Source organism: Homo sapiens, chromosome 17 (assembly GCF_000001405.40).
Source record: "Homo sapiens chromosome 17, GRCh38.p14 Primary Assembly".
Lineage (NCBI taxonomy): Eukaryota > Metazoa > Chordata > Mammalia > Primates > Hominidae > Homo > Homo sapiens.
Window position 1 is genome coordinate 83,078,234 of NC_000017.11, and position 22,731 is coordinate 83,100,964.

Below are 22,731 nucleotides of genomic sequence, written 5' to 3' on the forward strand. Positions count from 1 at the left end.
TTCTTCAGACCCTCACCCTTGTCCCAGCTTTCCTGGGCTGGGGGCTGGGCTCCACCTGCCTTTGCCGGTGACTTCCGTCCCTGCAGACTCACAATTTTCAAAGCCCTCTCCCCGCCTCCTCTGGTAGTCACAACCCAGTTATTCAGACTTGCACAGGTCGTTCGCAAGTCCTCCTGGAAGGTATCTTGGCTGGAAAAGGGGACAAGGCCAAGCTTCCCCACCGCTGGATGCTGCGCTCGGCTCTGGAACTGACACCAGGCGTCTCGGGCAGGGCCACTGACCCGCAGCACACAGAAGCCAGCTTTGCCATCGCAGCGGGGACCGCCGGGCGGGCCAGCTCCGCCCTCTCCTGCCTGGGGGGCCCTCGGCACCCTCTGGCTCCCCTTCTCTGGCCTGAGTCTCTAGGGCCTCCCCAGTCCGGGCGGGGGTCTCCGCTGTCCCCCCCACTGGGTCAGGCACGTGGTGGCCGCGGTGACCACCTGGGGAAGGCGCCGACTCCGAGGAACACACTCGAGCAGGACGCTCCGCAGGTGATTCTGCCCCGCGGGCACGGGGTGGGGGCGGGATTTGGCCAAATCTGCAGAGAGTTTAGGTTGTCAAAGCTGGGGCGGGGGTTGCTACTGATACCCAGAGTGCGGGGGCCAGGGTGCTGCCAACATCCCACCATGCGCAGGACGTCCCCACCCCAAGAACCACCCGGCCCCGCGTATCCGGAGCGAGGAGTGGGCAGCGCTCGGCAGAGGCCCCGGCGCGGCGGCTGCACGTCCTCCGGGAGGAGGGAGGGAAGCCGGGCTCACCGCCGGGCCTCCCCCCCGGTCAGGAGGGAGCCGGGAACTCCCGAGGCACCAACTCTGCGGAACGCGGGGCGCCCGGATCGCCCCTGATCACCGCCCGCTGGCGAGGCGCGGGGGACCCAGAACCGGCGGGGCCGGGAGCCTCCTTTACCGCTCCGCGCCGGGGCTGCCCGCAGGATGGGGCGCAGGATGGGGCGCAGGATGCGGCCCCGGCACCGCCTCGCGGGGGTCTGCGGGGGGCGACCGCGGCTCGCGTCGGCCACTACTTGGGGGTCTCGGGTTTCCGCCCCGCCCTCGCCTTGCAACCCCTCCGGCCCCGGACTCCGCTTTCCAGGCCGGGCTCTTCCCTCCGGACCCCGCTCGCCGCCCGGCGCGGCCCCCTCCTCCTGCAGCGCCCCCCGCCCCGGCGCCCGCGCCCCCGATTCGCTGCTGACTCGGTGTCTGCGCGTCCGGCCGGGCGCCCCGGGAGGAGTTTCCGGCGCGGGGCGGGGTCGGGGGCGGGGTCGGGGGCGGGGCGGGGCGGCGGGTGGGCCCCACCCCCCAGCTGAGCCCGGCCGGGCGGACTCGGACTCGCCAACTTCAGAGGCTCGGCGGCGGCGGCGGGCGCGGAGCTCTGCGCGCGGCTCCAGCGGGCCGGGATGGGCGGGCGGCCGCGCGGAGGACGCGGGGGGCGCGCGACGTGACCACCCGGACTCGAAGCCCGCCCCGCCCCCGCCCGGCTCGCCGGCTCCGGGGTCTGCTCCGGGGGTCGCGGACGCGGGGCCGGGCGGCGGAGCCGGCGCCAGAGCATGCGGGGCGCGGCGCGGGCGGCCTGGGGGCGCGCGGGGCAGCCGTGGCCGCGACCCCCCGCCCCGGGCCCGCCCCCGCCGCCGCTCCCGCTGCTGCTCCTGCTCCTGGCCGGGCTGCTGGGCGGCGCGGGCGCGCAGTACTCCAGCGACCGGTGCAGCTGGAAGGGGAGGTGAGTGTGCGCGGCGCGACCCCGGCCCGGCCCCCTCCCCTCGCGTCCCCTCCCGTCCCGGGCCGGCCGAGCGTGCGGGGGCGCGGCCGGGGGCGGGCGCGGGGCAGGGGCTCCGGGGGCCGCTCTCCAGGCCCAGTCCGGTGCCCGCTGTCCCCCGCCCCCGGTTCTAGAACAAAAGAGCCCGCGGCGTCCCGGTTCCCGGCCCGGAGGACGCCCGGGGGAGGCGCGCCTGCAGCGCGGCCGGGTGGGTCCCGGCTCCGCGCGTGTCCGAGCCTCGGGGGCCGCCGGTCCCGCGACCCCATCCCGGGGGCAGGCGGGGGTCGGTCCTCGGGCCCTTCCTGGCAGGCTCCGGGAGTTGCGCGCCCCGAGGCCGCCCCGGGCCAGAGCGGGAAGGGACGGCCGCGGGAGGGAGCGGCGGTTTCGGGGATCGGGCGCGGACCGCAGCGGGGGCCACTTCCGTCTCGGGGAGCCGCGGGCGGGCACCTGTGAGCCGGGCCGAGTGTGGCTCCGGCCGGGCCCCCCGCCCCTGCCCCGTGAAGGTCAGGCCGCCCTTGGCCGCGGCGCGCGCTGCGCTGGGCGACCCCCCCCCCCCCCACCCGCGGTGGCGGCCGAGGACTTTTTTTTTTTTTTTTTTTTTTTGACTCAAGCGTGGCCGCCGAGAGCGGCGCCGACCGCGACTGCCCCTCGGGAGCCGCCGCCGCTCCCACGCGAAGCCCAGGGCGCCGAGGGCACCGCGGCCGAACCCGCCCTGCGCGAGCCTCGCAGTCGCCAGTTCCGGGGTTCGCAGATGCGCGGGGACCCGAGTGACGCGCGCCTCCCGGAGAGCCGTGGCCGGGCTGGCCCGGGCCTGGGTCCCGCTTCCCCTCGGCGCGGCCCCCGCCCCCGCCCCCGCCCCCGCCGCGGGCCGAGTCACGCGGTGATGTCGAGCGAAGCTGTTTTCCGAGAAGGTCGGGGCAGAGCCGGTGCGGGGCGGGTGGTGTCCGCGGGGCGGGCGCAGGTCTCCCCGCAGCCGCAGCCTCCGTTCCGGGTCCCCGCGAAGCCACAGTCGCCCCCCAGCGCCCCCGGCGGAGCCTCCCCGGGGGAAGGGGCGTGGCGCTGGGGGGCAGAGTCGCCCCGAGGGCCGTGGGCGGTGCCCGGCTGTCCCGGGAGCGGCCGCCTCCCTTCTCGGCCGAGCGGGGCCGCGGGCGGATGGAGGTCTGGGGGGGGTCGGCCGGGAACGCCGGCGCCGGGAGCCTCCGAGGCCGACGGCTCTTCTGGGGCCGCCCCTGCCCCCGCGGAGTGATTCAGCCCCGGCTCGCTGCCTCTGCCCGGCGGGTCGGTGCATCCCCGAACCGAGGCCCGGGGCGTTCCGCTCCAGCAGACCGAAGCCAGAAACGCCGCCCCCGCCACCCAGGCCGAGTGTGTCGAGAAGGGGCCGGCGCCCTTTTCAGGGTGTCAGGGGACTGTGTGCCCGGTAGGAGGGGGCGCCTCCCGGAGCCCGAAGGGAGGGCGCGGTAGGCAGCCGAGGGTGGCGGGGAGGCCACCCCTCCACCTCCAGGGGCGGGCGGCTCCTCCAGGCAGGTGACAGCAGCGGGACAGGAGTGCTTTGCCCTCCAGGACCTGCGCACCCTCCTGTCTACCTGGAGGCCCTCTTCGCCATCGTTGCCAGTCCTGGCCTCAGACTCCCCAGAGGGGACCCCCCCACACACACACACAGGGGACCCCCCCCAACACACACACACCTGCAGAGCCTGGCAGAGGGCAGCTGTGGGGGCTGCTGGAGCTGCGGGTGTGATCTGGAGGGGACACGGGGCCCGGCTGTGTTTCTGGGGCGTAAGTGAGACTTCCTTTTGTTGTGGTCACTGCCCCGTTGATCCACACACGTCACGAATCAGTGACAGAGACTCGCTGTGGAAACCGGAGTGCGCTGGCCTGCCTGCTACCCTCCGGTGTTTGTGACTTTTTACCAGCTGTCCTGACGAAGCACAGGGTGGAGCGAGCGCTGGTGTGCTGGGTGGATTCTCATCCCCCGATAGCTGGAAAGTTGCCCCTCATGACACTGGCCACTGCATCGACGGCCTCTGTTGCTGGGTGTTTCTTCTAAGCAGTTAAGTAGGAGATGATGAAACCTCCCTTCCGTGGGGGGAGGCGGGACCAGCGCCCCGTCTTTATCAGCCAGTGCTCATAAATGTGGACCATGAACTTTCCCACTTGCTGTCAGCCCGGGCATCGCAGGTGCGGTCACACCTGGTTCGTCTCTCCTGCAAGGTGGGGAAAGGAAAGTTAACCTGCCAGTGGGTTCGAAGCCCTTCCTGACTTTCATACAGGAGCCGGGCATTTTGTCCTGGTGACCCAGAGTTGTGGTGTGTGGGCTGGTGCCTCAACAACCCTCCAGTGCACCTGCGCCCCCCTTCAGTGAGTCCCTTTATCCACTTGGGATTTGCCCTCCTTTCCATGAAGGTGCCCCACAAGCATGTCCACCTGGGTGGTAACCCTTGCTGACTTTTAAAAGTGTATCTGTTCAGTCTGTTGATCCAACATCAGATCAGCCTTGTCAGTTTCCTAAAGTTGAACGAACCACGGTTTTGTCTGCACGCTTCAGTTTTATCACAGCAGAACTGTGTCACCTGCATCTCACGTGAAAATCACAAAATGCCCTCATCCATGACCATTAAAGATAGGTCACATTTTTGCAATGCCAGCAATTTTGCATAAACAGACTCTGTTTTCAGGTTTGCTGAGGTGCTGGATATTTGGAGGTGAGAGATTTGAGGCACTCGATTTTCTGGTAGGAACCAGCACAGACCATGAGTCTCGGACTTCGTGCCGAGGTCTGCTGGGTCCCAGGCTGAAGGATGCATCGTTTAACTTTTTTTGTCTACACGGGTCTTGCGCATCATGTGCTACTGATTTTAATGTGAAAATCCCTACGTCAGCGGGTCTGGTTGGAGTCCCGTTGGTCTGGATGTTTCGGGAGAATGTGAGAGGAGAGGGGAGCAGGCCCTGTGCTGGGTGCAGACCCGTCTGAGTGCGCTGAGAAGACGTCAGGTGAAGGCCGGGGTAGCCGGGTGTCTTCTTTCTTCTGTGTCCACCTTCATTTTGTCCTCTTCCTCTTTTTGCCCAGTGTCTTCTGAGTGGGTGGAGCCAGGCGTGCCCACCAGATGCGGGTAGCATGTGCTAGGCCAGGACGGCCCCCAGGCTCAAGTCGGCCTCCTCCTGGGCAGAGGTGGGTTGGCCGCCTGTCCCCAGCTGAGTTGTGGCTGTTCCCCTCGCCTGCTCAGATGAAGGCAGTGCTGTCAGAGGTGACCAGAGCCCGCTCCCTCGACCTTCAGGACTCCCCGAGAGGGAGGCAACGTGTCAGGACGGTGTATGTGGAGAGAGGGTCGAGGCTCGGTGCCTGAGCACGGGCAGGAGGACAGTGGCCTCGATGCCAGAGACGGGAGGGAGAGACGTGACGATGAGGCTGCATAAGAAGAGAGCTGACTGTAGCTGAGTGTATCAGCCACTCACCGAGTCCAGTTTCCACACAGCACGATCATCGTGCCCTTGCCCACACACGTGTTAGATGAGCTTGTGTGAGCTTTATGGGCTGTAATTTGTGAGTCTGTTCTGGGTGTGTGATCCTGGCAGCCGGCTAGGCCTGGCCACTCGTGACCTGGGGCCTTGTCGGGGTGGGGAGAGGGTGAGGAGGGGTGCACCCTCGACACCACCCTCTGATGTGGCCTGCAGCCTATGAAGAGTGAGGTTTGGGGGCCCAGAGTGTGAGTCACCAGCGGTAAATGCAAACCATATGTGATGCATTTTCTCTGCTGCAGAAAGGGTTTCTGGTGACTCGCTCAGGCCAGGGCTCTGGAAACAGCATTGCTTATTTCACATAAAAATCCTAAGAATGTGGGTGAACCTGTCTGAGATCTGCGTAATAAAACACTTAGTTGAAGTCACCGGGTTAGTTCCAGGCCCACTTGGTTATGACGTGGCTGTTAGCCACGAGCTGGCATTTACGTTAAAGTGTTGAGAAGCGTGAGGGTTTTGATGTTTCAGTTTCTTGAAAATATAACTGTTTCTACTCAGGACCTGCCTCTCCAAGAGTGTAGCACACTTCATTTTTTTCTGTTTAGCATGTATGAGGGTGAACTTAGCTTGCTACTCACACACTACTCACCCTGTGGAGGAAGTTCGCCTCGCTTTTGTGGTGAGTCTTGCTGTAATGATAGCTTATATTTACAAATACCGTCGGCAGTGCAGGGTCTTCAGGCTTGCAGAAAACGGTCAAGTCATTACTTTGAGAAATGTACAAACATCTATGCTTAATGAGGTGCTAAAAGACAAAACTCATCTACAACCTCCTTCCCCCCAAACTGCCAACACTCTGGATTAACTTAAAAGCTGCTCTCTGGGCAGGTTGCATCCCAGGGCTCCTCCTTCACACGTGGTGGGGCCCCACCTTCGCTTTACCTCTAGCGTCCCAGCCCTCGTGGTCATCTGGAACCAGGGTTGGTACACAGGGCCTGCTGGCATTCCTGTGATACTCCGTGATATTCTGGAGGAATCCATCCCTTCCCTGGGGCTCCATCCCACTGCCCCAGCACCTCCAGCCACCCTGATTCAGGGACATCGCAGAGATTGGTGTTTGACGCTACGGCAGCAGAGGCGCAGACTCTTGAGTGTTGGAGGGTGTCTGGAGGGCCTGGGGACAAGCACCGCCTGCACTCCCGGGAGCTCGGCCCCGCCCCACCATGGCTCTTGGTGCAGGTGCACTGGAAGGAACTGGGTGGGGCCCTTGTGCCGAAGGGCGGAGATGGCGCCGGCCTGCCTCACGGGCAGGGGTCCGTGTGGCACCTGTGGCCGGCAGCGGGTGGGTCCAGGAGCCGCCATCATTTGGAGCGGGTATCGTCCTCACTGACTCTCTGTGGGTGCGGGTGGGGTGTGTGACGGGAGCTCCGGGCCTGGCTGACAGTGTCTCTCCTCTGCAGCGGGCTGACGCACGAGGCACACAGGAAGGAGGTGGAGCAGGTGTATCTGCGCTGTGCGGCGGGTGCCGTGGAGTGGATGTACCCAACAGGTGCTCTCATCGTTAACCTGCGGCCCAACACCTTCTCGCCTGCCCGGCACCTGACCGTGTGCATCAGGTCCTTCACGGACTCCTCGGGGGCCAATATTTATTTGGAAAAAACTGGAGAACTGAGACTGCTGGTACCAGACGGGGACGGCAGGCCCGGCCGGGTGCAGTGTTTTGGCCTGGAGCAGGGCGGCCTGTTCGTGGAGGCCACGCCGCAGCAGGATATCGGCCGGAGGACCACAGGCTTCCAGTACGAGCTGGTTAGGAGGCACAGGGCGTCGGACCTGCACGAGCTGTCTGGTGAGTGTCCTGCCTGGGGCGGGGGCGGCGGGCCTCGTCATCACGGGGCTGGTGATGTGGCAGGTGTCTCTGATTTCTTCCTGTCCCCTCGTCTGCTCAGCCTTGGTGAAAACCCTTCTGTGTCTGTGCTTCGGACATGACTGTTTTGCCTGAAGAGCCCCCCAGGTGGCTGGGGTTGGGGGACACTGGCGCCCGCAGAGGGGCCCTCCTAGGGGGTGTGACATGGTGTAGGGGGGTGTGGGATGTCTAAACTAAACCATCTTGGAAATGCAGCCTTTCCAACTAAAACCACCTTTGAAAAGACTGGCCCATCTGGGTTAGTGTTTCGGGCGGCATGGCCTTGGCCGAGCGGGGCCTCTCTCCCTGGAGGTGTGTCTGGGGAGCATGGTGAGCATCCCCCTGTGGCGGCCGGGCCAGTGCTGGGTCGGACGCGCCCCCATGCTTGTGGATCGTGTAGCACCTTTGAAACGGGTGCTTTTGCCATTCAAACTGCCCTGGGAATTGGCTGGGTGTCTGTGGTGTCGGCTAAAGACCCTGAAACGTCCATTTTTGGGTGGGAGCTGAGGCTGGCTCAGCCCTGAGCGGTGCTGAGCTGTGACGCCCAGAACATGGGGCCACCCCCGTCCCAGAGGGGTCTTGTGGGTACGATAAACAGACAGCTTCCCTGTGTGGCCGGCAGGGAGTGGAGGTGTCACGTGGCGTCTCTGGACGCCTGTGCTTGGGGGAGAGGTCCTTCGTGGAGGGCTGTGTTGGTCTCTAGAAAATTCTGTGGGTAGACACCAGGAGGCATGAGGTCCTGGGAGGCACCTGTGGGCCGTGTGACCTCCATGGTCTGTGTGGCCTCGGACTCGGGTGTACAGACTTCTATCCTGAATGGGAATCCACATTTTTGTGTTCTATGTTCTTGGCCTAGATTACTTTTCATCTCTCTCTGAAATCTCTCCCAGGTAGACTGGTCATTTACAGAGTGAGTGTAGGACCGTCTGCCTGGAGTCCTGACTGCCCCGAGTCCCAGCTGGCCCATGAGCTCAGACTGCCCCTTGGGCCTCAGCACCCGCAGGGCTGGACGCTGATGTAAACTCAGCTGTGCTGTGGTTGGTTGCACGCTGGATAAAACTTTAACCACGGCGGCCTTTATCTTGGTCACCAACAGTTATGGTGGGTGGGAGACCTGGGGGAGGGGGTACCAGCCTTGCTCTGGGGGCCCTGGAGAAAAACTCACAATGAGGCGAAACCTGGAGAAATCCAAGCTCCAAGTTCAGTCTTTCTAACCGGAGGTAGAAGGTGCCGGGCCAGATGTTAGGAACTTGCAAACATTCTTTCTGCTGATTAAAGTGGTGATTGGTCTTGAAGACGTTGGGCTGCGGGTCACATGCTCTGTGGCCTGAGCTTTGTTCTGCTTCTGGGTGAGATTCTTAGAGAGGCTGTGGTGTAGTCCGTCCCTGCCACGCACACCTGGACGTCCACACTGGCACAGGCCCGATTTCTACATTTCCAGGGGAAATTCAATGGTTCTAGTTGTCAGCTGGGGCGACCCTTACGGAGCCTGTGCCCTCACCTTTGGGAACAGAGACTTTGTCTCTCCTGCCTCTGGGGGTGGGGTCCGAGGCCTACAGGCCCTGTGTAGGCTGGGGCGGTGGGTGGGTTTGGGAGAGGCATGGGATGGTAGGGGCTGAGCTGCCTTGGGGTCCTGTGGGGTTGCAGGGAGGCAGCGGCCTCTTGTGAGGAGTGACTTGAGCCCCAAGGGACCAGAGCAGGCATTCGGCGGTGGGTCCTCGCTCACCCTCCGTGTGCCTCCTGGGCCTGTGGGGTCCTGCGCAGGTCTGTGGCCCCAGTACACGTCAGGCTGGCTTGGGGTCCCAGAACTTTGCTGTGTCCTGTGAGGCAGGTGCTTGGGTTTCCTTGTTTACACTTGGTGACCCTGCGGCATCTGCTTAAACCGAGCCTGAGGTGATTTCCAGTGCCCTGTGGGTGGTGGGTTGCTTATCCGAGGAAGCAGACATGCAGGGATCCTCGGAACTGACAGGGGCCCAGACTCTGAGGTTCACCGGGGGCCCCCGGAGCTGGGACCCACGCCTGGCATCTCACGGGAACGGGCACAGATGCAGGCCCCTCCCTGGGCTGAGCACCTCCAGGGCCCTCACGAGAGGCCTCTCCTATCCTGATGGGGTGGAGGGGCAGGAGGGATCCGAGGAGGCTGATACCTCTCCTCTCCCCAGGGTATTCGCCTTTCATCAGGGGACGGGGGCCCCTAAGCCTTTAATGCTGCAGGAATGGGTACATAATGTGGAATGTCGGTGCCGGCCGTCTGGCAGCAGTGACGCCATCCCCTGGGCCAGGCCGGCTCCCCAGCACTCTCCGGCCAGCGCCGCGGTTTCCCTTGCCTCCCGTTCCTGCACTTGCTGTAGCTGCGAGAGCCGACGGAGGCTGAGCCGGGCAGCGCCAGCCCCGCCGAGCCTGAGGTGAGCCTGAGCCTTTGGCCTGGCAGCACGACCCACGGGAGGTGGACGAGCTCGTCTGTGTGTCAGAAGTTCCAGTTTGTGCTGACTCAGGAGGACAGAGGCTCCGTGGGCTGGAACCCCGGACAGGAGAGGGTGTGTGAGCCCCGTCCCCTGCCCAGCCAGGAGGAAATCCCCCGCTCCGGTGGGTTTCGTTGGTGTGATCGTGGTGCGTTCATGCTGCATAATCGGCTTCCTTGAGTAAACTGAGACACGCCGATGACCAAGAGTTGGCCGGAACACGGGGGCAGGCTGCTCCTCCAGGGGTACACACTGGGGGCCAGGCGGGAGGGGACCCGGCCCCAGGACCTTGGGATTTGGCTGACTACGGGCAGGACCTCTCAGCCCTGCACCAGCCGCCTCTGCAGGCGACACGGACGCCTTCCTTGGATGCTGAGGAAACCCCGCAGGATGGGGGTGGCAGAGAGTGGTCAGGTGCAGCTTCCGGCCGTGCCCAGACCTGTGCCCAGCAGACCTGGCTGAGGCCGTGTGGGGCTGCTGTTTGCAGGCCAGGGAATCCGGGAAACGGGCACCGTTCAGTGGCTTGGGGAATGTGGGTGGGGGCTGTCTGGTTCTGGGGTACACAGACCCGAGACAGTCCAGGCAGGTCCCAGGATTCCAGTCTGTTCTTCAGCTTCTCCCAGGGCTGTGTGTCAGATGCTCCTGGCTTGGCCACATCTGTGCTTGGGGTTTGGGGTGCAGGCTCTGTGTAAGGCCCCCCAATGCAGGCCCCAGTGAGCAGGTGCCCAGGGCCGGGCAGCAGCATCGTGGACACAGGCAGTGGGAGGGGAGGGGATGCTGCCTTGATGCTGATCATGAGCACGTGGTGCCGTCCCTGGCTCTCCAGGACGCCGGAGTCCTGCAGCGTCTCAGGGGCCTCAACGCCTCCCCCCTTTAAAATCCTGCCCCTGGCTGAGCCCGTAGGTGAATGACCAGCTCGGCGGGCGCAGAGCCCCTGCCGATGAGCCCCCTCCAGGAGCCTCAGAGTTTGGAGAAGTCCTTGATGGGTGGGAGGGATGGGTGGAAAAGTGTGGAAGATAATTCTCATTATTTCCTGGAAGTAGAGGAGAGGGGCTGATTTTTCCAAGGCGTCCCATCTCTCGTCCATCTTTGGCTTCCTGCTTGGTGCCTTCTCTCCGGCCACTGTAATTTTCATTTTAACCATCTCTGGGCTTGTGGAGAGGAAGGGTGTGGCCCCCGCCAGCTTCCTCACCAGGAAGAGGGAGGGAGAAAGGGAGGCAGGGGGAAGGGCAGGGGCTATGGGGCCAACACCCCCGGGGCACCCCAGCAATGGACTGCAGCCTGGAGTGCGGCCGCAGCGCGACGGTGATGATGGTGGCCTTGAGGGGAGCCTTGGGAGCTCAGCCTTGGGTCCTCGAGCCCACTGGAGCCCACCCTCCACCCCTACCCACTGCTCCCTGTTCTTGGCTCCTCTGAAAGCACCTTATCCCCGTCACCGGCTCCTCTAAAAGCAGCGTGTCCCCCCGCTACCCCGTCACCACCTGTGTGGGAGACCCAGTAATCGTGGCCACAGAGGTTTCCCGTCGGAACTGTGTGAGTCCCTCTGGCTGTCCTTACCTGGGCAGTCCTGCCGGACCGGTCGGTGTCTGTCATTCTCAGCCTCTCCTCGGAACCAGCCGGTCCTGCCTCTCTACTTAACACCTGCCGTGCAATCTAAGTCCCCGCAGCAGCGTCCCCAACCCCACCCTGCCGGTCCCTCCCACCCTGTTCATGCTAGCTCCTGAGAGACCTGCCTGAGATGTCCACACCCCAGCCCTCCCCCTCCGAGGAGGATGGACCAGGATTCCAACCCTTTGCCGACCCTCCCCACCGCCCTGGAGACGAGGTGCAATGTGTCCGTGAGCAGCGCGTTCCGCAGCCTTTATGAGCCTGGCTCCTGTTAATAATTGTCTCCCGATTGTCTCCCGGCGTCCACCGGCGTCCACCCTGCATTCTCCGTGAAGGTGACTTCTGCTTTGTAAAGCTCAGAATCAGAACAGGGAGGTCTCCAGGGTGCTCCTTACGAGCTCAGCTGTCGTTGGGTCGTCTCCAGAGGCTTCTAGCAGGCGAGGCTGCAGGCACTGACCGTCCCCGGCCCCACACCCCTGCCGTCAGCCGGGTGAGCCAGGGCGGGGTACCCAGGGCACGTGAGGGCAGCGTCTCCATCCTCCCCCTCGGCCGTCCGCTGAGGTCGTGGGGCCGTGACTCACAGAGGGCGAAGTGCTAGGGCTTGCATACCCTCACGCGCCCAGGCCCCGGGGTGGGACGCATGTGGCTGGGCCTGTGGGCTCCCCTGCCCCAGGGTGGGAGCCACACACCCCCGCCCCGCCCCAGGGTGGGAGCCACACACCCCTGCCCCGCCCCAGGGTGGGAGCCACACACCCCCGCCCCGCCCCAGGGTGGGAGCCACACACACCCCCGCCCTGCCCCAGGGTGGGAGCCACACACACCCCCGCCCTGCCCCAGGGTGGGAGCCACACACACCCCCGCCCTGCCCCAGGGTGGGAGCCACACACACACCCCCCACCCCCCGCCCCAGGGTGGGAGCCACACACACACACACCCCCCCACACACACACCCCCCGCCCCACACACACACCCCCCGCCCCACACACACACACCCCCCGCCCCACACACACACCCCCCGCCCCACACACACACACACCCCCGCCCCACACACACACACCCCCGCCCCACACACACCCCCGACTGTGCTGCTGACTGTGAGGATGGACTTCCGGCACCTCCTGCCTCCTGCCTTTGCAGGACCGCCTGGCCCAGCCCCAGCTGCCATGGCTGCCCAGCCGGAGGGTGCTGCTCAGTGAGGGGACCCTCGGGTGGACTGGGGTCACCACGCTTCTGTCGTTGACCAGCTCTCTCTCAGCCGAGGCCACCTCCACTCACATGAGGCGCCCTGGGCTGGGACCTCTGGCCCTGTGGTACGGGGCAGGTGCTGGCGTGCAGTCTCACCTGTGGAGGATAAAAGTGCTGCCTGAAATTTGAGATCCCCCAGTGCTCCCTCCTTGTTGCTTCCGGACGTGAGTGGTGGTCTGTGCTGCTGGCCTCTGTCCAGCACGTGCCTGCATCAGGCCCAGCATGGTCTGCAGACCCCCAGCCGGCGAGTGGGATGGGGGTCCACATAGGTGAACTAAGTGTCAAGGGTGGGCCACACCCCGGGGCCCCCATAGGAGAGCGCACCGGGCGGCTTCCAGCTTGGGGGTCAGGAGGCCCCCGTGGTGGGGGCTGCAGTGTGAGTCTGTACACATCAGCAGGAAGGGGATTTGGCCAGAAGCTCCCATTCTGGAGGGTTGCTGGGATGGCAGAGGTGCCCCCCCAGTGCCAGGCTGGACCGGCCTCAAGGTGCTCAGCAGTGCCAGGCTGGACCGGCCTCGAGGCGCCCCCAGTGCCAGGCTGGACCGGGCCTCGAGGCGCTCAGCAGGCTGTGCAGTTTCTTTTTCCTGATACCTTAATGGAAGCAAATGCAGGAGGAGGTGGGTGGGCCGGTGAGTCAGGCACTGAGCCCGGCTGGGAGGCGCCCTCACCCCTGCCTGGCGGAAAGTGCTGGCCTTGTCTCTGGGTCCCTCCTACCTCCACCCTGCGGGGTCCACAAAGACCTGCGCTTGCCCAGTGCACCGTAGACTCCAGGGTCTCCGTTGACCACATGTGCAGGCCCTGAGGGTCCATGTAAGTTCCTGACCCCAGAAGGCCTCTGAGCAGCTGTCCCCGCCTTGGCCAAGGTGCCAGATATGTGTGCTGCCCTGTCCCCTGGGACCCCCAGTCACCAGCAGCTGGCTCGGGCCTGTACTCATCAGGCAGGTGACAGCTCAGCTCACTTCAGCCCAGCAAGGGCAGCCGGCCAGGGGTGCAGACGGCGTTAGCTTCTTCCAGGGCCGGCGAACCCCAAGTCAAGGTCGTCCCAGCTCTTGGCCAGGGACGTTTCAGAGCCTTCAGAACGTGAAATGGCACCGGCGAAACCAGTGCCATTGAGATTTCACGTCTCAAAGTTTCTATTGCGTTAGGAGACTTGGGGCCAAAACCTAGAGGCTCAGAACAGGTGAGGCCTTGAAACCTGCAATAAGAGCAAATAATAAAACCATGTTTTCCAAGTCCGTCCCGAGTGTAGGAATGCGGGGCGTGCAGAGGTTTCTGTTTCACAGTGGCCCGCCCATCTAAGAAACTGGGGCGAAGGGCAGGGCGAGGGCTGGGCCGAGGGGAGAAGGTTGTTGGGAAAGCCTGGTTTGGCCGGTACGGGAGCTCATTCTGAGAAGCCTCCGTGCTTTCCGCATTCTCTGGGGGAGGCCAGGCCCCGCAGGGTTCAGGGGCTTCAGAGGGGGTTCTGTGAGCAGGGCTTGGCTTGAAAGCCATTTGGGGCATGCACCTCATCCCGCGGCCAGGTGGCATCCGGGGAAGGGGCCGGGCCGATGGCCCTGACTGGAACTCACTGCCCTGCTGGGTGAGGCCCCACGCCGGTGGCAGGTGGACGCGTCGCTGCCTGCTTAGGGATCCCCTTCCTGGAATCTTGGCCTCGCTGGCCCTTCCAGCCACATGGGGGGTCCCGCGGGATGGGATCCTCCTTTTGGGTGCCGCTGCCGTCGCGACCCAGGGAAGTGGGCAGCAGAGCTGTGGGGAGTGTCTGCCCTTCGAGGAAGCTGGGAAATGAGGGTGGTCCCGGCGCCGTGGGCCGTGGAGGTGGGTTGGGGGCGACTCTGGGAGGTGGGGGTGCTCCTGGCGCCGTGGGCTGTGGAGGTGGGTTGGGGGCGACTCTGGGAGGTGGGGGTGCTCCCGGCGCCGTGGGCTGTGGAGGTGGGTTGGGGGCGACTCTGGGAGGTGGGGGTGCTCCCGGCGCCGTGGGCTGTGGAGGTGGGTTGGGGGTGACTCTTGTCTGGTGGGTTCGGTTCAGCCCCAGTGGGCTTTGCATTTGCAACAGGCACGTGAGCGATTTCTCAGTGAGTCCGGCTCAGCCGCACTGAGGAGATAAGTGGGGAAAGAGCACAAAGACCCCTCCCCACGAAGGCCCTGGGACATGGCCGGACTGAGGGTCTTGCTCTCGGACATGTGCCCATCATGGCCGAGGTGCAGGTGCCTTTGGTCCAGGTGGGGCCGAGGGGTCCCCTGGGTGAGACCCCGTCGTGGTCGAGGTTGTGTTTTCTGTCTCCCGTGCTGCCGGCCCCTCCAGCACGTGCCGCCAACTCACATTTGAAGTGGCGTTGGTCACAAAGGTGCCTTGACGTGGACACCCTCCCTGACTTGGCTTTGCTGAGTGTGAGGATCCTTTGACGGTGGTGGGCGGCGTTCCAGAGCCTGTCCCGTCCAGGCTGCTTCCTGACTCTGCCTTTCTTCTCCAGCGCCGTGCCGTCCCTGCAGTGACACCGAGGTGCTCCTAGCCGTCTGCACCAGCGACTTCGGTGAGTGTCTCCTCGGCAGCTTCTACCTCCTGTGCTCCTGGTTTCTGCCACATGGAGCTGTTTGGGCCCAGGAGTCCCTCTTCAGGGCCCAGGACAGCCTTCCGGTGCTGCGTGGACCCTCCTGGAGGGGCACACGCTGTGGAAGCCCTGGGCTCGGCCCTCCACCAGCCCTGGGGACAGGGACGCCACCGCCCACACTTGGAGGGAGCTGGGGGTTGTTTTGGTGACTGTCAAACATTTTCCCATTTTGTAAATGAGATCACTGCTCTTCGAGGGGACTCTTGAAGTCCACTGTCTCCCAGCAGCTCTTCTTGCTGAAGTGCTTTGTAAACAGCATTTTATCAGCAGCCCAGAGCATCCTTGGCGTTGGACACTCCTTGCCCCCCACCAGAGTTCACGCTGTTCCAGGCCTGAGGCCCCCGGCGGCTCTGCGGCTCTGCAGGAGGAGCTTTGGGGTCCCAGGGCTCCAGCCCCTTTGCTTGTGGCGTTTGCACAGACGCCCTGTGGGAAAGGTTTGGCCTCCCGTCGTGTGGTGCCGTGGAAGCCATGTCCTGCAGGCCCCGGCTCTGCACCCCACCTCCAAGCTCAAGGACAGGCCCCTTCTCACTGCTTTCCCGGCCCCTGGCATGGAGTTGGGGCTGGGCAGGGGTCTCCAAGTGTGGCGCGAAGGCTGTCCCCATGCCCACCCTCTCCTGTGAGCTGCACCGGGTCTGTCTGATCAGGACACAGAACTGCAGGGGCACCCTGTGTATCAGCTGGACTTGTTTGTTCTGTTTTCCCATTTAACAGGTCTGGCCCTTGGTAGAAAGGGCACCTGTTCTCTGACGATGTCTAAGTATCTGGGACACCCCTTGGCAGCTTTCTGCTGTTACATTGTACTTTTCTCTGGGAATTTCCACGCTAGATGGCAGAGTCGGGGGTCAGCTGCCCGTTCCAGTGCCCATCGATGCGGGGGCAGGGGGAGGTGCGGTGGTCTTGCTGTGTGCTTGCCTTTGCTCACTCCCTGTCCCCATCTCCTTCCCCGCACAGCCGTTCGAGGCTCCATCCAGCAAGTTACCCACGAGCCTGAGCGGCAGGACTCAGCCATCCACCTGCGCGTGAGCAGACTCTATCGGCAGAAAAGCAGGGTCTTCGAGCCGGTGCCCGAGGGTGACGGCCACTGGCAGGGGCGCGTCAGGACGCTGCTGGAGTGTGGCGTGCGGCCGGGGCATGGCGACTTCCTCTTCACTGGCCACATGCACTTCGGGGAGGCGCGGCTCGGCTGTGCCCCACGCTTCAAGGACTTCCAGAGGATGTACAGGGATGCCCAGGAGAGGGGGCTGAACCCTTGTGAGGTTGGCACGGACTGACTCCGTGGGCCGCTGCCCTTCCTCTCCTGATGAGTCACAGGCTGCGGTGGGCGCTGCGGTCCTGGTGGGGCCGTGCGGTGAGGGCCGCGCGCTGGGAGCCGCATGCCCTGGGCCCAGGCCTGACCCTGGTACCGAAGCTGTGGACGTTCTCGCCACACTCAACCCCATGAGCTTCCAGCCAAGGATGCCCTGGCCGATTGGAAATGCTGTAAAATGCAAACTAAGTTATTATATTTTTTTTTGGTAAAAAAGAAATGTCCATAGGAAACAAATTCCCGTGTCTTAAAACGCCTTGGTGTGCCGTCTGATACTGTTCTCTAAAGACGTTAGGAGTCACGGCATCTGGCCTGCGGTTGGGTGAAGCACTGGCCGTTGGGCACAGTGGATGTGTGAAAAGGTGCCATTCAGAGTTGTTATTCTCATGACGGAAGTTTTGGAGCCAAATAATACGTTTTTTATTTTCATTTTATTTTTAAAGGATGAGCTTTGGTCCTTTTCAGGCCGCCGGTTGTTTCCGTTCCCGAGAATAAAGACGAGGATCCGACCAGCCAGAAGCCGGAGTCTGTCTTTCGCCAGGTCCGGTGCCCACGGCCCGTGTTCAGGGCCTCGCTGGACGTACCCCAGGGCGCCACCCTGCCTCGGCAGACACGCTTGCTCCGCCCGGCGACTGTCCCTCAGCGCCTGCTGCTGCATTTCCATTAATGCAGGTCCTGCCCTGTGGCCCCAGCCTGCCCACAGTGCAGGGGCCCACAGCTAGTCTCTAGACGCCCAGGAGCTGGTCTGAACCCAGGTTGGTGACCCCATGTCCCCAAAGGATGCGGCTACCAGAACAAATCACCACCGACTGCGGGGCTGAAACAACCTCGTTCTCTGAGTTCCTGAGGCCACAATCCAAAGTCACGGTGTGGGCAGAGCCTCTCCCTCCAGGGCTCCAGGGGAGAACGCTTCATCTTCTCCTCAGCCTCCAGGGGTTCCAGGGAGGACCCTTCGTCTTCTCCTCAGCCGGGGGCGACCCTTCGTCTTCTCCTCAGCCGGGGGCGACCCTTCGTCTTCTCCTCAGCTGGGGGGGACCCTTCGTCTTCTCCTCAGCCAGGGGGGGACCCTTCATCTTCTCCTCAGCCTCCGGGGGTTCCAGGGAGGACCCTTTGTCTTCTCCTCAGCCTCCGGGGGTTCCTGGGAGGATCTTCATCTTCTCCTCAGCCAGGGGAGGAACCTTCATCTTCTCAGCCAGGGGGAGGACCCTTCATCTTCTCCTCTGCCAGGGGAGGACTCTTCATCTTCTCCTTGGCCTCTGGGGGCTCCAGGTGCTCCTTGATGGTGGCTGCATCACTCCAGTCTCTGCCTCCGTGGCCACACGGCTTCTCCCTGTGTCTGTGTCCAGATCTTTCTCTAGGACATTGGTCACTGGATTGGGGCCCACACCAGTGACCTCGTCTTAAACCGATTACGTCCGCAAAGACCCCATTTCCAAATAAGGTCACACTCAGCGGTTCCTGGTGGACATGAAATTTGGGGTACACCATGCCCCAGCACAGGGGGTCCCTGGGAGTGTCAGTTAACCAGACCCCAGCCTGCATCCCCATTGATGAATCAGGCAGTTCCTCCCGTGCAGCCGCTAAGAGCAAAGGGGACCTGGGAGAGGGTGATGTGGTCAGTGGGCACCATGCCGGCCTTGCCAAATGCTCAGGCACTCTGGGTAAGCACTGTGTACCGGCTCAGATGTTCACTGGCTCAGGTGTGCACCGGCTCAGATGTTCACCGGCTCAGGTGTTCACTGGCTCAGGTGTGTACTGGCTCAGGTGTGCACTGGCTCAGGTGTGTACCGTGCACTGGCTCAGGTGTGCACCGGCTCAGGTGTGTACCGGCTCAGGTGTGCACCGGCTCAGCTGTGCACCGGCTCAGCTGTTCACTGGCTCAGGTGTGTACCGGCTCAGGTGTGCACTGGCTCAGGTGTGTACCGTGCACTGGCTCAGGCGTTCACTGGCTCAGGTGTGTACCGGCTCAGGTGTGCACCGGCTCAGCTGTGCACCGGCTCAGGTGTGCACCGGCTCAGGTGTTCACCGGCTCAGGTGTGCACCAGCTCAGGTGTGTACCGTGCACTGGCTCAGGTGTGCACCAGCTCAGGTGTTCACTGGCTTAGGTGTGCACCGGCTCAGATGTGTACCAGCTCAGGTGTGCACCGGCTCAGGTGTGTACCGGCTCAGATGTGTGCCGGCTCAGGTGTGCACTGGCTCAGGTGTGCACCAGCTCAGATCTGAGCCAGCACAGGTCTGCAGGCTCCCACAGGTCACAACAAGAAGCAGGTGTTTCTGGGCGAGGACCTGAAGCAGCAGGCTGGGGCTGGGCCAGGTCCCACTGTGGCTGGTGGTCAGCACACCTTTGCCAGCAGGCGCCACAGCACAGGTGCCCAGCCCACAGCGGGGCGGCAGGGAATCTGCTCCTGGAACCTGGGTTTTCTGGGCTGGCTCCCGGGGGTGTTGACTGACAGGAGAAGGCTGCAGAACAAGAAGGTCGGGTTTCAGGCTGGCAGCCTCTCCTCAATTACAGGGATGCTGGGGTAGGCCAGAACCCGGTGTCAGGTGGAGTAGAAGTCACGCTTCACGGGAGGCTTCTGTTTTTTAAGAAGTGCCTGTGGGCTGGGGGGTTTTTGGTCCAGAGTCTAGGGGAAGGCAAAGCTTACCAAACAGAAAGTGTCCACTCCGGGGTGGGGGACTGGGGCCTCGTCTCTCCGCTGGGCCAGGACAGGGCTGTGAGGTCCAGCTGCCTGCTCAGCTCTGGGACCTGTCCTCCTGCAGGAGCCCACGGCCGTGAACATGCACACGGGCAGATCCACATGTCCCCCGAGGAAAAAGAGAGGGTCAAGGTTGAGTGTGTGGGTGCTAGGGGGTGCAGAACTCACTTCTAACTATGAGGGTTGAGGCGGGCTTCACAGGGGAGGTGGGTTTTGAGCCAGGCCTGCAGCCCGGCATCTGGAAGTGGCTTCCAGGCTCTCCCTGAGCTCTCTCCTGCAGGACACCCCTGCCTGCAGATCTGCACCCCCAGCTCCTTCCTGGGGACTTGATATCATGACCCTGCCTGGCACCCCAGGGGTGAATGCTGCACCCAGCCCTGAGGGTTTCCATCTGCTGGGGGCATCTGACCTGGGCAGGCCAGGGTGGGTGGGAGGGAGTCCAGCGGGGGAGGTGCAGGGTGGCCAGGGGGAGACACTGCCCTGGCTGGAGCCTGGATTCACTAGGTCATCACCAATGCAGGGGGTCCTGGCTCACTGGACTTTGCTACTAGAGAAGGTTGGGGAGCTCCACATGAAGGCAAGAAGGCTGGGGCTCAGGGTGTAACTCATCCCCGGAGAGCAACCAGAAAGGCCGTCGGATTGCAACGCAGCCTGCATTGTCCTCGCTGAACGCCTGGTCCTGTCCCACCTGCACCGGACAGCAACTGCTTCCCCTCCAGGGCGGCCCCCATCGTCCCCCAGGTGCTGCAAGAGCAGTGAGACTTACCCAAGACAAGTCAGAGGCTTTGGAGCTCTCGGGGGCGGTGGCTTCTCCCAGGAGCCCCGTATCTGTCAGTCCCCCCATAAGGGGAGGGGAGTTGGCAAGGCTCCTCCTTGCTCCCAGCGTGAGGATTGCCCCTACTTTTCCGGCCCCCACTTGCCCCCTCCACCTGCCCTTTTCCCTCCGGGAAGCCCTGGAGGTTTTCCAAGAACTCTGCGGGTCGAGGGGGCAGCCTATGTGGGGTGGCGGGGGGCCTCCTGCTTGTTGGATGCCCAGACGCCTACACCTTTCACCCTGGGGTCCAGTCGGCTGATGGCCATGAGAGAGAAGCTGAGAGCAACCAGAGCCCACAGCTCCATGCTGGTCCCCCATCTGCAAACGCTGGGCCCCATGGGAGCTGTGACTCGGTTTCCAGCTCGTCACAGGGCTGGCCGAGGCCCCGGCATGTCAAGCCATCTCAGGTTGGGCAGGAATGTGGTCCGTGTTCACATGTGTCTCTGTGTGTGTGAGAGAGAGGGGTCAGCTGGGACGCTGGGGTGGCAGGGACAGTCCTGGCTCACCCCTCATCCTCCCTCGACCTCGACTCCCTCCACATGAGGAGCCCCCCCTTCCTGGCTATCCTGTGAGTTGAGCTTCCTCTGCTGGGAGGGCTTTGTCAGAGGTTCCCTGCGGTTCCAGAAGGAAAGCTGGCTGCAGGGAGGGCCGGGCACTGGACACCGTGTGGCTGAGCCTGTGGCGGGGGCTGCACAGCTGGGTTCCCAGCCCCCCTCCTTGTCCCCACCCCACCGCACTGGGAGGCCCTGCTGAGGGGCCAGAGTCCGGCTGCAGGTCCCACGGGTGGGGGTGGGGCCCCTCATTAGCACTGCAGCTGACACTGAGGGCTTCCACCTCGCTAATTGATTAAACTGTTTAGAAACCAGGCCGGCGTGGTGGGAATTGGCCCCGGCCGGGCTGTCCGCTCCCCTTCTGTGCAGGCAGCGGCCCCCGGAGTTCATCAGTCAGGCCGGTTGGTGGGGTCCCGGCCCTGGCTGCCCTCGGGAACCCTTCTTTGCTCCTTTGTGCGGTCAAAATGGTGAGGGTCCTGAGAGGAGCTGGTGAGACCCCGGGGTCCTCTCCTCCCTGACCACTCACTGGGCGAGCATGGAGGGAGGCCTACTGTGCACGGGCATGTTCCTGGGAACCTGCCTGCTGGGATTAAACCCGCCCTTGTGAAGGACGGCAGGTGGGTCACTCAATACCAGGAGGGGCACGGGGCTGTGAGCAGAGGCCCGAGAGCCTTCTGAGGCGGCACCGGGTGCTCCTGGGCCCTGCTCTCCTGGGATTTGTTGTGCCTGTGACCTCAGCCTCTTCCTTCCTCTCCTGTGGGATTCCCCCAACACCCCCTCCCCTCCTGCCATTCCTTCCCCCACCAGGCCCCATGCCTCCCCTCCCCAGTGCCCCCTACCCCCAGGTCTTCCCTCTAGGACATCAGCCTGGGCTGTGGGTCTTGGTCTCCCACAGAGACTGAGTCCTGGGAGAAGGGCAGAGCCTTGGTTCCCAGTGCAGCCCCTGTGCCAGCCTGCAGTGGGCACCGGTTCAGCCGGTGCACACTGGGTCCTGCCCCCACCTGAGGAGCGGCCTGGGGCCTGATCAGCCCTGCTGGTGTCTGGCCTGCAGCCAGCACCGGCTCTGCTATTCACACTTGGTTACAGGTGGGTGCCCATCCCAGCAGCCTCGGAGCAGAGTGGGTCGGGCTCCGGAGGTGGGGGCGGCCACTAACAGCAGGAGGTCGTGGCAGTGCGGCTATGGCAGGGGTTCTGAGGGGCGGAAGGCAGGGGCGGGACGTGGGGACGCAGACCTGCAGGGAGGACGCCGGCTCACCCAGCAGGGAGGGGATGGCCGCCCAGGGACCCCCAGCCTGCCCGCTCTGCTTCCCCGACCGCCGGGGCAGGGGCCCCACGGGGGACGCCAGGGAACGTGAGGAATCCGGAGTCAACACTGGGCCACTGTGTGCTGCCAGCCGGGCGGGCCGTGATTTATAAAGACAGCGGAGGCTTGGCTGGTGTCGGGGCGGTGAGGTCACGGCGGCCGGGGGCTCTGGAATTTCTTCAGAAGAATTTTGCTTACCAAGCCACATACTTTTCTAGCCATCAGTTTGATCAGAGGCAAGATGAAAAATATGCTAAAAAACAAAGAAACAAAAATACACCCGGGGGGCTCCGGTGAGGGGGAGGGGCGCTGCGGGAGGGGTGGAGGGCCCAGGGAAGGGTGAGGGGCCGGGAGCCACTCTGCCCGGCACTCTCCGCCCAGAAACAGCCCAACGCCCCTTTCTTTCCCCTTTTAGCACTGCTGAGCTGGACTAAAATGCCCAACAAGGAACTTTACTAAAAACTGAGGCAAGAAAGAAAACACACATGACATAAAAATAGTCAAGGGCACATTCTTGATGGTAGATAACTGGTCTCTGGCCACAGCGGCTGCCAGGTTGGGTGTCGGCCGGCGGGTCTGCCAGTCCCACCCATAGGCACTGCACTTCCCTGGGCCGGACAGGGGGTGTGGCGGGTCTGTGGGCGGGGGGACAAGGTTGGCAGGACCGTGAGGGGGGTGGTGGGTCTGTGGGAGGGGGACAAGGTTGGCAGGACCGTGAGGGGGGTGGCGGGTCTGTGGGCGGGGGGACAAGGTTGGCAGGACCGTGAGGGGGGTGGTGGGTCTGTGGGAGGGGGACAAGGGTGGCAGGACCGTGAGGGGGGTGGCGGGTCTGTGGGAGGGGGGACAAGGTTGGCAGGACCGTGAGGGGGGTGGCGGGTCTGTGGGCAGGTGGACAAGGGTGGCAGGACCTGTGAGATGATGTGAGTGCAGCACAGTGGGGCTCTGTAAGAAGCGACCCGGGCAGCTTGAGCAGGGGCAGGCTGGGCGGTG

At 63.7% G+C, this 22,731-nt stretch overlaps 1 protein-coding gene across 2 annotated transcripts, besides 11 other annotated features; it reads left to right on the top strand.

Moving 5' to 3' along the window:
* The first annotated feature begins 1,375 nt into the window (after positions 1 to 1,375).
* On the top strand, positions 1,376 to 16,889 carry METRNL (meteorin like, glial cell differentiation regulator). Of its 2 annotated transcripts, NM_001363853.2 has the most exons (5): positions 2,913 to 3,205; positions 3,702 to 3,838; positions 6,705 to 7,090; positions 14,934 to 14,993; positions 16,023 to 16,889. In NM_001363853.2, exons 3-5 carry the CDS (start codon positions 6,781 to 6,783, stop codon positions 16,340 to 16,342), a joined length of 690 nt encoding a protein of 229 aa, NP_001350782.1. In that variant the 5' UTR covers positions 2,913 to 3,205; positions 3,702 to 3,838; positions 6,705 to 6,780; the 3' UTR covers positions 16,343 to 16,889. The 2 variants fall into 2 exon arrangements, with proteins under 2 accessions (NP_001004431.1, NP_001350782.1); NM_001004431.3 differs by lacking the exons at positions 2,913 to 3,205; positions 3,702 to 3,838 and adding an exon at positions 1,376 to 1,752.
* Positions 3,345 to 3,564: a silencer, noted in NCBI's record as "fragment chr17:81039454-81039673 (GRCh37/hg19 assembly coordinates)". NCBI's record gives its function as "represses an EF-1alpha promoter that drives an FKBP-Casp9 reporter gene in an ReSE screen in K562 erythroleukemia cells {active_cell/tissue: K562}" and the evidence as "EXISTENCE:reporter gene assay evidence [ECO:0000049][PMID:32094911]".
* Positions 3,345 to 3,928: a biological region, named in NCBI's record as "H3K27ac-H3K4me1 hESC enhancer GRCh37_chr17:81039455-81040037".
* Positions 3,346 to 3,928: an enhancer, noted in NCBI's record as "H3K27ac-H3K4me1 hESC enhancer chr17:81039455-81040037 (GRCh37/hg19 assembly coordinates)". NCBI's record gives its function as "activates a minimal SCP1, AML or CMV promoter by ChIP-STARR-seq in primed H9 embryonic stem cells {active_cell/tissue: H9 hESC(primed)}" and the evidence as "EXISTENCE:reporter gene assay evidence [ECO:0000049][PMID:30033119]".
* Positions 3,560 to 3,854: a silencer, noted in NCBI's record as "tiled region #6007; K562 Repressive non-DNase unmatched - State 14:Gen5'". NCBI's record gives its function as "represses a minimal TATA promoter and a strong SV40 promoter by Sharpr-MPRA in K562 cells {active_cell/tissue: K562}" and the evidence as "EXISTENCE:reporter gene assay evidence [ECO:0000049][PMID:27701403]".
* Positions 4,522 to 5,081: an enhancer, noted in NCBI's record as "H3K4me1 hESC enhancer chr17:81040631-81041190 (GRCh37/hg19 assembly coordinates)". NCBI's record gives its function as "activates a minimal SCP1, AML or CMV promoter by ChIP-STARR-seq in primed H9 embryonic stem cells {active_cell/tissue: H9 hESC(primed)}" and the evidence as "EXISTENCE:reporter gene assay evidence [ECO:0000049][PMID:30033119]".
* Positions 5,082 to 5,640: an enhancer, noted in NCBI's record as "H3K4me1 hESC enhancer chr17:81041191-81041749 (GRCh37/hg19 assembly coordinates)". NCBI's record gives its function as "activates a minimal SCP1, AML or CMV promoter by ChIP-STARR-seq in naive and primed H9 embryonic stem cells {active_cell/tissue: H9 hESC(naive and primed)}" and the evidence as "EXISTENCE:reporter gene assay evidence [ECO:0000049][PMID:30033119]".
* Positions 6,540 to 7,067: an enhancer, noted in NCBI's record as "H3K27ac-H3K4me1 hESC enhancer chr17:81042649-81043176 (GRCh37/hg19 assembly coordinates)". NCBI's record gives its function as "activates a minimal SCP1, AML or CMV promoter by ChIP-STARR-seq in primed H9 embryonic stem cells {active_cell/tissue: H9 hESC(primed)}" and the evidence as "EXISTENCE:reporter gene assay evidence [ECO:0000049][PMID:30033119]".
* Positions 9,000 to 9,637: an enhancer, noted in NCBI's record as "H3K27ac-H3K4me1 hESC enhancer chr17:81045109-81045746 (GRCh37/hg19 assembly coordinates)". NCBI's record gives its function as "activates a minimal SCP1, AML or CMV promoter by ChIP-STARR-seq in naive H9 embryonic stem cells {active_cell/tissue: H9 hESC(naive)}" and the evidence as "EXISTENCE:reporter gene assay evidence [ECO:0000049][PMID:30033119]".
* Positions 9,638 to 10,275: an enhancer, noted in NCBI's record as "H3K27ac-H3K4me1 hESC enhancer chr17:81045747-81046384 (GRCh37/hg19 assembly coordinates)". NCBI's record gives its function as "activates a minimal SCP1, AML or CMV promoter by ChIP-STARR-seq in primed H9 embryonic stem cells {active_cell/tissue: H9 hESC(primed)}" and the evidence as "EXISTENCE:reporter gene assay evidence [ECO:0000049][PMID:30033119]".
* Positions 12,897 to 13,532: an enhancer, noted in NCBI's record as "H3K27ac-H3K4me1 hESC enhancer chr17:81048933-81049568 (GRCh37/hg19 assembly coordinates)". NCBI's record gives its function as "activates a minimal SCP1, AML or CMV promoter by ChIP-STARR-seq in primed H9 embryonic stem cells {active_cell/tissue: H9 hESC(primed)}" and the evidence as "EXISTENCE:reporter gene assay evidence [ECO:0000049][PMID:30033119]".
* Positions 20,190 to 21,186: an enhancer, noted in NCBI's record as "H3K27ac-H3K4me1 hESC enhancer chr17:81056168-81057164 (GRCh37/hg19 assembly coordinates)". NCBI's record gives its function as "activates a minimal SCP1, AML or CMV promoter by ChIP-STARR-seq in naive H9 embryonic stem cells {active_cell/tissue: H9 hESC(naive)}" and the evidence as "EXISTENCE:reporter gene assay evidence [ECO:0000049][PMID:30033119]".